General features: G+C 36.7%; 1 protein-coding gene across 6 annotated transcripts in view; it reads left to right on the top strand.

Moving 5' to 3' along the window:
- DLC1 (DLC1 Rho GTPase activating protein) overlaps positions 1–13,715 on the top strand; it is a 521,260-nt gene that overhangs the window by 186,731 nt on the left and 320,814 nt on the right. The gene's annotated exons all lie outside the window — the stretch shown is intronic.

Genomic DNA, 13,715 nt, shown 5'->3' with positions numbered 1-13,715 from the left:
AAAAAGTCAGGAAACAACAGGTGCTGGAGAGGATGTGGAGAAATAGGAACACTTTTACACTGTTGGTGGGACTGTAAACTAGTTCAACCATTGTGGAAGTCAGTGTGGCGATTCCTCAGGGATCTAGAACTAGAAATACCATTTGACCCAGCCATCCCATTACTGGGTATGAACCCAAAGGACTAGAAATCATGCTGCTATAAAGACACATGCAGACGTATGTTTATTGCGGCACTATTCACAATAGCAAAGACTTGGAACCAACACAAATGTCCAACAATCATAGACTGGATTAAGAAAATGTGGCACATATACACCATGGAATACTATGCAGCCATAAAAAAGGATGAGTTCATGTCCTTTGTAGGGACATGGATGAAATTGGAAATCATCATTCTCAGTAAACTATAGCAAGGACAAAAAAACCAAACACCACATATTCTCACTCATAGATGGGAATTGAACAGTGAGAACACATGGACACAGGAAGGGGAACATCACACTCTGGGGACTGTTGTTGGGTGGGGGGAGGTGGGAGGGATAGCATTAGGAGATATACCTAATGCTAAATGACGAGTTAATGGGTGCAGCACACCAGCATGGCACATGTATACATATGTAACTAACCTGCACATTGTGCACATGTATCCTAAAACTTAAAGTATAATAATAATAATAATAAAGAAAAGTAGGTACTCATAGGTGCCCATCAGTTTGTTCCCTCATTTTTCTCTTCCTAAAAATCCCATCGTGTTGCTTTAGTCTAGTACAGCTTGATCTATTTAAAGTCATCTGATTAGAAATAATTGTTGACACATTTCTGTTGTTTACTGATCAGTCATTTTAACTAGCCCGACTGCTCTCAAGAAATCCTCGGACTTATTTACTGATTTGAAATCAATCATATTCCTTACCAGCACAATACGAGTACTTTAACAAAGGCACATAACAGATTTTAATATGTGAGGGCATAAAGGAGGGATAGAGGTAGTGAAAAAAAAAAGTTTTTTCTCACTATGTTTTTCATGGAGTTCCTTTATCAAAATCACCTGGGGCATTTACAAAGGGCAGGTTCCCAGGCCCCAGCCAAAAAATGTCAAACCAGAATCTCTCAAGTGTAAGCCAGGAATCTACATTTAAGTAATTAATTGTTCTAATCAGGTATTCACTATACTAGAATATACAAAGTATAAGATGACAAAACCCTATGTACCCACCACCTGGGTTTATGAATCTGAACATTTTCCTATTTGTTAGAGATTTTGTTTATACTATTTTGGTCTGTTTTATTTCTATTTGATTCTGAAATGAAACATTTCAGAGATGGTGCAGAATAGGTGGGAATCTCTCTGCTTCCACTTCCCTCCTTAAGTTCATAGGTAACCACCATCCTGAATCATCCAAAGTGGCCATATTTTGTATGTCTGCACTCAATAAAATATATATCTTTTATATGTTTTGTATATATATCTTTTATATGCATGTTTTATATGTTTTTTGAATTTTATATCAAATCACATCACATGGTATTCATCATTTTGCAACTTCCTTTTGTTTTCAGTATTAGGTTATGGAGATTGTTTTCATTGGTGATACTTTTAACTCAAGGCCAATTTTTTAAATTGCTATAGAGTGATATTTGCATATGTAACAAGTTCTATGAGCAAATTTTATACACATGAAACTTAGGATGTAGAAAGACAGTGAAACAGGACCAAAGTGATAAGTCCAGAGAAGAATAACATGGGACCCCTAGACGCCAGCATCAGGGTACATGGGTACACCTGTCACTGAACATGTGAACAGTCAAAAAGAAATGACCCTCAGCTGAGCAGTGTCTAGGTAGAAAGCATCCTGAAAGGCTTTTTTCCTTTTCACAAATAAGAAACTTATTTTAGGGTGTGCCACTCCCAAGCTGTATCCTAACTTTGGCATAGTTGTTTGAAACTTCCCAGGAGAAATTTCGAGAAGACATACAAGAACATCAGTTGGACTTCTTGGGGTGAAATTACATAATGCTACTTTTCAGAAATATTCTTTATACCTGTATACATTCAATAGTTCCATATTTATCAGTTTGTGTATATGTAGAGAAAAAAAATCATGAACATACTATCCAGCACTTCTTCTTCAAGTTATTTAAAGGCTCTTAATGGTAAAAAAGAAATAATAATAAGATAAAAATTAAATCAGCCGGTTGCAGTGGCTCATGCCTGTAATCCCAGCACTTTGAGAGGCCAAGGCAGGCAGATCATGAGGTCAGGTGATCGAGACCATCCTGGCTAATACGGTGAAACCCCATCTCTACTAAAACTACAAAAAACTAGCCGGGTGTGGTGGCGGGAGCCTGTACTCCCTGCTACTAGGTAGGCTGAGGTAGGAGAATGGCATGAACCCAGGAGGTGGAGCTTGCAGTGAGCCATGGTCGCGCTACTACACTCCAGCCTGGGTGAAAGAGCAAGATTCTGTCTCAAAAAAAAAAAAAAAATTAAATATTTTACCCTGTTTAAACATCACTGAGAAGATGAAGGGGAAAATTAAACATATCCTTATATGCTTATGCTTAAAGAAACAGTTTTTCACAACAAGTGACTAATAATATTTTTAAATTTCAAAATGTATTTACTTAAATCACTAGCAAATAGTGATTTATTTAATTTATTTAAATACTAGTAAATCACTTAAATCACTAAATAAAATCACTAAAGTGTTTTAAATTACATCAAATCACATTGTATGGCACTAGTTGCCACTGACTTAAAAAAAAATAACATCGTGGGCCAGGCGCAGTGGCTCACGCCCATAATCCCAGCATTTTAGGAGGCCAAGGTGGGCAAATCACAAGGTCAGGAGTTCGAGACCAGCCTGACCAACATGGTGAAACCATGTCTCTACTATAAATAACAAAAAAATTAGCCAGGCATGGTGGCGCACGCCTGTAATCCCAGCTACTCAGGAGGCTGAGGCAGGAATATCGCTTGAACCTGGGAGGTGGAGGTTGCAGTGGGCCGAGATTGAGCCATTGCACTCCAGCCTGGGTGACAGAACAAGACTCTGTCCCTGCCCCCCAGCCTCAAAAACCTCAAAAAAAATGATAACATCGTGTCAAATAAGGATATTTTTCTTAGTTTATTGCATGTATTGTATAAGCTAATTCACTGAATGTTTGCTTTAACTCACATCTGCAAAATCTTCTAACTATATTTTATGTGCTCACTTACGAAGTCTCTTTGAATCTTATCTTTTCCATATAGAGTCCCATTATGTCACTTCTTAGAAAATGTCAGTTTGGGTTTATGGTAGAAAGCCAAGGTCATAATGCTATTCTTTTCTATCTTTGAGCTAAAAGAAACAGTGCAAATATTCAGGAATTTGTGCAATCTATGAGAAGAAAACTGCAATCCCGATGAGTCATAGGAAGAACAGATCACACATTAAATTGGTCAAGCCAGGATTCAACATATTGAGAGTGATGGTCACAAAAGGAGATCATCACCAAGTTCTCAACAAAATTAGCTGTGCATTAGTTGTACTGGCAAAGATAAATTGTCTATACACATAAAGATGGAGATTATCTTAGGTATACTTTAGTAACCACATTTATTGAATATATGGGCATCTTTTCATACCAATAATAAGGATACTCAGTCATTATGTTAAAGGCTTCAGCATATGTCAATATATGAATGTACCAAAAAATTTTTAATTCCTCATAATTCAACAAAGGTAAAAAGATAGTATATGAAAAATATATTATAAAGTATGTTATGCAGTTAAGGAATAAAATTCCTGGGGAGCTTTTTCGTGTTTGTGGTGTCAGCTTTTTACAGACTGTAATTTTTTTGTGTTTTTGTTTTCAATAAGCGTTTATTTTTATATCACTGATATAATTCACCATCATGTACTTGTTGGAGTAATTTCAAACTGTAACATGTAGGTTTCTTTGCCCCTCTCCCAGTTCCACATTCAGCTCCCAAGGATGAATGTTGTATTAGTCTGTTCTCACATTGCTATACAGATACTACTTGAGACTGCGTAATTTATAAAGAAAGGGGCTTTAACTGACTCAGAGTTCCGCATGGCTGGGAGGCCTCAGGAAATTTATGATCATGGTGGAAGGCTAAGGAGAAGCAAGTACCTTCTTTACTAGGTGGCAGGAGACAGCAATAGAGCAGGGGAAAACACCACGTTTAAAACCATCAGATCGTGTGAGAAGTCAAGCACTATCATGAGAACAGCATGGGGGAACCTCCTCCATGATCCAATTACCTCCCAACAGGTCCCTCCCTCAACACCTGGGGAGATGAGATTTGGGTGGGGCACAAAGCCAAACCATATCAGATATCCTTCCAGATTTATTTTGTGCATATACGTGTATATATATATATATGTGTGCACACACACACACAGAGAAATAATTTTGCATTGGATGTGTCTGTATGTGTGCTCGTGTATGTGTGTGTGTAGGAGAGAGAGAGAGAAATATATTAAGGATTTTATGCTGTACAGCAGGGGTGTTCAATCTTTTGGCTTCCCCGGGCCACATTGGAAGAAGAAGAATTATCTTGGGCCACACATAAAATACACTAACACTAACGATAGTTGATGAGCTAAAAAAAAAAAAAAAAAAAAATCGCAAAAAAATCTCATAATGTTTTAAGAAAGTTTACGAATTTGTGTTGGGCCATATTCAAAGCTGTCCTGGGCTGCGGGTTGGAAAAGCTTCGTGTAGTGTTCTTTACCTTTCTTTCCCTACTTAGCAAACTCTCTATAGAACACTTTCCTTATCAGTAGCAGGGTCCCAAGTACTGTTGGGCAGGTTATGCCCCGCACAAGGACACCAGACTAAAGTGCTGAGTGGGGGCTGATAGGCAACCTGTGTTTTGCTCATTAAACATGAACCCTAGCACATGGGTGCATCCATTCAAACCGGCATTTTTTTTTTTTTTTTTTTTTTTGAGATGGAGTCTCGCTCTGTCGCCCAGACTGGAGTGCAGTGGCACGATCTCAGCTTACTGCAAGCTCCGCCTCCTGGGTTCACGCCATTCTCCTGCCTCAGCCTCCCTAGTAGCTGGGACTACAGGCTCCCACCACCACACCCGGCTAATTTTTTGTATTTTTAGTACAGACGGGGTTTCACCGTGTTAGCCAGGAGGTCTCTATCTCCTGACCTCGTGATTCGCCCACCTCGGCCTCCCAAAGTGCTGGGATTACAGGTGTGAGCCACCGCACAAAGGGACATTTTTCTAACTTGCACTGAAGCATTACGTAGGTTACTCATGGCCCTGTCAGTGCATGTGAATCTGCGTCATCGTATGCAACTACTGCATTGTGATCCAAGAAATGATGGTGCCATAACTCATTAAGTTAAAATTTTCTATTGATAGTAAGTTATTTCCAGTTCTTTGGCTACTAGCAAAAAATGCCACAACGAAGACAGTATTGATTATACTGTCTTTGCATGCGTGCAAGTAATTTTCTAAGATAGGTATCTAAAATTAAATTACCAGGTTGAAGAATGTGTTCTACTTTAAATTTCGATAGAGACTCCCAAGCTACTCTCCAAAGGGGAAAAAAATTCTATTTCCAAAATATTGTCAAACTTGAGTGTGGTCATGATTTCTTTTTTATGAAAAAAATATTAATTCTCATTCATAATTAATTAGTATTGTTTTAATTACCAGTGATGCTTTGGGGTTTTAAATCATTAGGAATTCTTCTATTAATAGACTCTTTATATGCTTTGACCAATTTTATTAGGTTGTCTTTTTATAACTGCTTCATTCATTGTCGTACATATGATCTAAATATTTTCTCCCAGTCTATAATTGTATTTTAACATTTATCAATCTTTTCTTTGTGGACACTTTATACAGTGTGCTGTTTCATAGAACATTTGGATTTTTAAAAAAGATTTTACAATTTTGACTCCTTTTCTCTTGCAGATGAAATTTAAAATCAACTTTTACCTAAGCATTTGTGGATGAAATTATATGGTCTCTGGGATTTACCTAAAACACTAAAAAAAATGTGAAGAGGGATAAATGAGCAAAATATTGGTCATTTTTAATCTGACAGATAAATCAAAATTTATTATTTTTCTGTATTTTGTGTGTATTTAAAGATATCCACACTAAAAATTTTCTAGTCTCTTTCCATTTTCTTTATTTTGTTTCATATTTTTAATGGACTTTTTAAAAAGCAGTTTTAGGTTTCCAGCAAAATTGAGTGGAAGGTACAGAATGTTTTATATGCCCTCTGCCAATAGCCACCATCAACATCCAGCACCAAAGTAGTACATTTGTAACAATCAATGACTCTACAATGACATGTCAGTATCACTCAAAGTTCATAGTTTACATCAGTGTCTACTATTGGTGTTGTACATTCTATGGGTTTGGATAAATGTATAATGACAGGTGTCTAATAATATATAATCATTCAGAATAGTTTCACTGCCCTAAAACTCCTCTATGGTCTGGATTTTCATCCCTTCCTTCTTGGTAGCCTTCTTACCCTCTCCATAGTTTTGCCTCTCCAGAATATCATATAATTGGAATTATTCAGTAGATAGCTCGTCAGACTGACTTCTTTCACTTAGTAATATGCATTTAAATTTCCTCCATATCTTTCCATGGTGTGATAGCTCATTTGTTTTTAGTGCTGAATAATGTTTTTTGTCTAAATGTACCACTGTTTATCCATTCACCTACTGAAGGGTATCTTGGTTAGTTCAACCTTCAGCAAGTATGAATAAAGTTGCTATAAACATCTGTATGCAGGTGTTTATGGGGACATACATTTTCAACTCATTTGAATAAAAATACCAACAGGTATGACTGCTGGATAATATGTTTCTTGGTCTTCATTTTCGTTTTCCAAGAATCAGCTCTGCAGGTGGGTTCATTTTTTAAAAACCCATAAAACCCATGAGGGTTTCATTTAGGCTCCTTTGAGTTTTTAAATTAATTCAAACAGAATATTTCATTCATTCTTTCATTCAACAAGCATTTATTGTGTGATGATTATGCGCCTCTGCTGCAGATTCTTGGTTTGCATCAGTGAACAAAACAAACCGTGATTACCCTTGTGGGGCTGACGATCTAGTGGGGAAACAGAGAGTACACATAACAAATTAGTTGTACAGTATGTTGGAACTTTCCTCTCCAGAGCAAGTATATATCTTTCCATTTATTCAGTCTTTTACATTCTTTGGTGACATTTTTGTTTTTTTTTTATAATGGTCTTGCTCATTTCTTTTTTTAGTTACTTCTAGGTATTTTATAGTCTTTTTTGCCACTGTGATATGAGGGGTTTTTCCTCCTATTCCATTTTTTAAATGATTAACGGGAGAGGACAAGAGTGGTCTTGCGTTTTTCTTTGTTAAGCCAAATTCTTTGATTTGTTGAAATTATCAGATTTTCGTATTATTCTCTTGGATTTTTGAGGTACACATTTTCTTCCTTTGTAATATAATCATCTCTGTTTTGTTGTTGTTGTTTCTGTTGCATTGGGCAGAACCTCAAGTGTAATGTTGAGTAGAATATGTGATAACAAGCATTCTTACTTTTTCCTAGTTTTATAGAAATATTTCCAGTGTTTCCTCATTATCCTCAATGCTTGCTTTAAGTGTCTTAGACTCATAATCAGGTGAAGAGCATTGCCTTCTAAGTCCTTGCCACTTAAAAGAGGTTTTTTTAATTTTAATTTATTTTGTTGTTTGTAATCACTAGCAAAACATTTCAAATCAGTTTGAAATGTTATAAATGCCCTTTTTGATATTTACTTGTCGTATTTTTTTCTTAAATCTGTTAATATAGGAGATTAATGACATTCTTATTGTGGAATTACCCTAGGTGAGACTCTAATTCCTGTCACCCTAATTTTCATCAGAAACCATGTAACGGTTTTCTCTGCAATCTACTAAAATGTTCCTCAAACCTAGCTGTGCTATGAATACATCCATGGAACTTTTTAAAAACACATAGCTTAGCCTCCCCGTAGGCCTACTAAATCATGTACCAAATTCTACATGAACCTTAGCACGTAGAAGTGTCCAAAGCTATACAAGTATACTGACAATCTGCCGCTATTGAAAACTACTACTCACTGAAGCTGTAAAATTAAACATAAAGAGACAAATACTATTTATTCATTCAAAGAAACAAGCCTTTGAGAGACCCCTCTATTGGAGTCACATTGCTCTTGAAGCCAAGGGTTTCGTCTGATATACCCAGCAAGAAGTGGGTTAAGCCAAAAGAAAGTTATTACATGAATGAAAACACAGTTGCCAGATAAGACATAAAATACCCAGTTACACTTTAATTTCAGATAAAAATGTTTAGCCACAGTAGGTCCAATGCAATATTGTCTTATACAATATTTGGAACTACTTCCACTAAAAACTTATTATTTTTTATCTGAAATTCAAATATAACTAGACATCCTATCGTTTTATTTGCTAAATCTGCAAATTCAAATTGCAAATGAGGGAGAGGATGACATATTTGAGAGACCAAAACAAGCTCTCTACTTGTAGTAAAGCATTTCCTAAAACATAGTATGGCTTAATTGAGAGTATATCAGATAGCATAAAGAATCTTTATTTTGATAATTTTGTAGTTTAATATGTGTTAGAAATATATCAGATTATTTATGTATTATATACCATGTATATACAATATTTAAAATGCAGCTATAAAATATTAAGGAAGATACAGTGGTAAAAATAATAACTACAAATATTAAGGAAAATATAGTTGTTGGACTCAGGATGATTGACATTCGGAGGCCAGTGGGCTGAATCAGAGAGTTACAACAGTGCCGGTAGAAAAGTAGACAGAAGTCAGGTCAATACAAGACTTTAAAAAAAAAATAAGGGGTACATTTTTATGAAAAAGGAATACATGTTTACTTATGTCTTTTTTTGTTGTTCATGGCAAAGGAAGGATCATCATAATATTCCTAAAAACAATTTATGGAATTTCAGTGTTAAATAGATATTTTTCTTATGTTTTCAAACCAAGAAAAGTCTTGTCTGCTTTAAGACCTGAGCCAAAGCAAAGAGTTACTAAGTATTGTAAAAAATAAAAATAAAAAAGAGTCACAGGAATTGGCAGATACCACATAAGCATGATAGTATGGAATACATATCAGCTCAGCAGGACTGATCCTATATTCTATAATGTATTTAGTGACCTGAGTGCCAATCTTTAATTTTAGCACTTAAAATGAAGACTGGTTCCAGCATACTTACGAAATGATTTAGGTAGAAATTATATCCCAGTCCCCAAAATGGGCCTCAGTTCTCCCCGCCGGTTCACACCTGCACTTCTGAACACTTCTCAGGACGAGCTGTATCAATATCCTTTGAAACTACTCAGGAAACTGTGTATGGAAGTTACAAAAGTTCTGGCTAATCAGTGCTCCGTTTGAAGCCTAGTTGGAGTTTAAAAACCTAGCAAAAGAGAAACCAATTTTCTTCAACATGTCTTAATAAGTAGAAGCAGATTAATAGCAGATAAATTTAAACAGATAATATAAAGCCATGATCGCTAATTAATGATTACATGTCAGTTAAAAGATTGCTTGTTGCAACTTTAAATAACAATATTATCTATCCATCATCATGACCTAATATTATAGTCATAGTGGCACATATTATTAATAAAAGATAATATGCCTAGAACTTGGAGTTGAACGGAATATATCTAGCAAACAGGAAATAGTTGTTGTTTTCTTTCCTGCTAGTCTACATAAGTTTCAAATTGAAACACAGTGGAATAAAAATTAAGACTGACTTATTTAACTTGCCTAGAAATTCTGACTTAGGATAATTACATTATCGTTAGCTTCTTACTGTCAATTTACATGAAAATCTTCACTGCTCTAAAAAAAGAGATTTAATAACATTCTGGTTTTTAAAACAGGATATTATTTTAAGAAAGGAAAGTCTAGAATGAGAAATTTATTGTCAAATGAAACATATAATGCTAATATGAGATTTTTACACTAGTCCAGCTGGCCAAAGATCAAATACTTCAGGATGAAACTGAGCCAAGTCTTTTGCTAAAAGGTCCCTTTCTTTCACGGGTGAGTGAGGAGTATTAGCAGTCCAGAATAACCAGTAACACACATATGGAATTGAAGACAGCATAGGGGCCAGAACCTTGTGTCAGGAAGTTTCAGTTCTATTCCCGGTTTAGCATTTAATTTATCATGACTATGTGATGCCACCGTTCATTGACAAGCAAAGCGTTCAAGCAATGCTATATATGCCAAACCAATCGTCCACTATTTGGAAGCATCTGGGTATTTTACTAAACTTTTTGGTTCTCTTCCAAATGCTGGCATTAGGAAAACAGAGCCTGTGTCTCTCTAGAAGAGGCACACTCTTTTCTGGACTTTATATTTCTCCAGTCTGCAAAATATCCAGTAATTTGCACCTCCTCCCCAACTGCCTTGTGTGTGTGCTGTGTTTGTGCTGTTCAGTTAAGAGCATTTGTAGAAAGAGGGGTGTTGGGATTATCTTTCCCAGATGGAAGGAAAGAAGCAGAGAGGAGACTCCTGTTGTTTAAGCCTCACAGAATCTGACACTTTTAGGAAAGAATGATTCTCTAAAAACCCTATTCATCTTCCCCAGATACCACTGCAATCAAAGAGGCTTCACTGCCCAGGAACTAAATAGCTCTTCCAAGTAAATTAGGAACTTCTTTCAGATTTCCAGTTTACCACCATGGGCTTGGACATCTTAGGTTTCTGACAGTAAATCAAATTGAATTGAAATTTCTCTCCTAATTTGCCTCGTATCTATTGACCTATGTCTGAAAGAGACACAAGTGGAAATTTCTTCCACAGCAGCTACATATATTATCTAAACTTTGACAGCAGCTGGTTGCAGTCCCAAAGCAACAGGATGTTTCTGTTCTTAGCACTACACAGACACATAATGGGAAAAAGAGACATACATCACAGCATTGACTCAAGTTCAGCTCACAGTCAGCTAAATACTTTTTCCTCATTAAAAAAGCAGACTGTGGCTATTCCATTAAGAATAGCCTGTTCATGTTCTAAACAGGCACTAAATTCTTAGTCTGCTTTAAAGAGGGTATATAGAACACAGAAGCACTTGCCTAGTCTGCCCCAGTCAGAGAACACATAGAGTAATATATTTAATTCTGGGCACCAACAGTTAATTGAGTCATTGACAGAATTATATCATATCCAGAGAAGAGTAAACATAATTACCGAGGATTTGAAAACATGTCATATGAGAAATAATTAAAGGAACTGAGGATGATTCACCCAAAAATGAAAGAACATGGGCACCACATCATTCTTGAAATATTTGAAAGGCTGTTTCATGGAATAAAGACACTGCTATTTCTGTCTGTTTCTTGTGGGACAAGCTGAGAAGTTAGAGTAAGGCAGAATTTGACACTATAAACTTTTTTAAAATTTATAGCTGCACAAATATGAAATAGGTTGCTTCCTCTGAAACAGTGTACAGCACATAGTGGTCAATAAACATACCTTAAATGATTGCTAAATAAAAGTTTAAAGAACTGGGCAAGGTCAGGCGCAGTGGCTCACACTTGTAATCCCAGCACTTCAGGAGGCTGAGGTGGGCGGATCACGAGGTCAGGAGTTCAAGACCAGCCTGGCCAACACAGTGAAACCCTGTCTCCACTGAAAAAAAAAAAAAAAAACACAAAAATTAGCTGGGGATGGTGGCAGGCGCGTATAATCCCAGCTACTCGGGAGGCTGAGGCAGGAGAATCGCTTGAACCTGGGAGGCAGAGGTTGCAGTGAGCCAAGATTGTGCCACTGCACTCCAGCCTGGGAGACAGAGCTGGACTCCATCTCCCAAAAAAAAAAAAAGAAGAAGAATAAAGAAAGAGAGAGAGAGAGAGAGATGAAAGAAAGAAAGAAAGAAAGAAAGAAAGAAAGAAAGAAAGAAAGAAAGAAAGAAAAGAAAAGAAAGAAAGAAAAAGAAAGAAAGAAAAGAAAAGAAAAAAGAAAAGAAAAGAGAGAAAGACAGAAAGGGAGGGAGGGAGGGAAGGAAGAAAGGAAGGAATGAGAAAAGAGAAAAAAAGAGAAGAAAAGAGGGCAAGACGACTTCACAGGTTTCTTGCAATTAATGTTGTAGTAATTGATGGTCTTTCAAAACACAGTTTCTGTATATTGACAGGAAGAAAAACCAGGATGCAGAAGTTGAGGAGAGAATTCATGATACCCAAGTGGGCATAAAATTTAAAATGTTTAACATGGAGGGAAACCAACATGTAGAACTCGAAAGCTAACAGGAAGGGGAGTGGGAAGAGCCAGGCTCTAGTCTCGACTTTACCAGTGGATTTTAAAAACTCCCTGGAGTTCAGTTTTCTCATCTGTAAAATCAAGGCACTGGAACCTTGAACTTTTATATTTCCGAATTATTTGGTGTTGAGTGAAGTGTCCAAATGACATATCAGTAACTTAAAGAATTGTGTTTTGACTTAAGTATAAATGTCAATATAAAAATATGTTAATTGTTGGGCACTCAAAGACATAAAGATGGGAACAATAGTCACTGAGGACCACAGAGGGGAGAAGGAGGGAGGGAGGCAAGGGTTGAAAAACTACCTCTTAGGTATTATGCTCACTACCTGGGTGACAGGATCAGTCATACCCCAGACCTCAGCATCACACAACATACCCATGTAACAAGCCTGCACATGCAGTTCTGAGTCTGAAAGTTGAAATAAAAAATATGTTAATTATAATAAATTTTAAAGAAGTTTACAAACATAAATAATAAATAGAGCAAGGACGAGAGCAAAAGGAACCACTACTAAAAAAAAAAAATCCTCCAGAAGTACACAAAATTTATTTATTTATTTATCTGAGATGGAGTTTCACTCTCATTGCCCATGCTGGAGTACAATGGCACGATCTTGGCTCACTGCTGCCTCTGCCTCCCAGGTTCAAGCGACTCTCTTGCCTCAGGACTCCCAAGTAGCTAGGATTACAGGTGCCCAGTACCATGCCTGTCTATTTTTTAAAAAAATATATTTTTAGCAGAGATGGGGTTTCACCATGTTGGCCAGGCTGGTTTCCAACTCCTCACCTCAAGTGATTCACCCACCTCTGCCTCCCAAAATGCTAGGATTATAGGCGTGAGCCACCATGCCTGGCCCAGAAGTACACAAACTTGACATCTACAATTCATACTAAAATTTACCTGGGCAACAAGGTAAATTCCTTGTTGCTCAGGTAATTCCTTAGTAATGTTAATCCCTGTTGCCCAGGGAATTCCTTCCAATATTAAGGAAAATAAATGTATTTAAAAAATAAAATGTGTTATTTTAGTATGTTATTATGTTGACTAAACCATAATTATAACTATATATGTAACTATCAATGTTTCTATTCAAGTCAAATTCTAAGACGAATTCTCTATCCTTCTGGCCCCCTACCCCAGTGTGTTTCGGAGTCACCATATGCCAGCTGACACTGGTTCACACCAGCTCGAACGGGCCAATTATGCACATTTCTTCCAACCCTGCAGTCAGTAACATCTTCTTGGCAGCTTGAAATGGGTCAGGGGAGTATTTACACCACGGAAATCCACAAATGCTACAAATAAGGACTTTCATTCTATTTGGAGATTCAGTTGCTAAACACTTACCAACATACCATAGCCCACCCATTTCCTGCTCCTAAGAAATATGCTCCCC

This window comes from Homo sapiens, chromosome 8 (assembly GCF_000001405.40).
Source record: "Homo sapiens chromosome 8, GRCh38.p14 Primary Assembly".
Classification (NCBI taxonomy): domain Eukaryota; kingdom Metazoa; phylum Chordata; class Mammalia; order Primates; family Hominidae; genus Homo; species Homo sapiens.
Note: the sequence above shows the minus strand (reverse complement) of the source record. Positions and strands in the feature narration are given on the sequence as shown.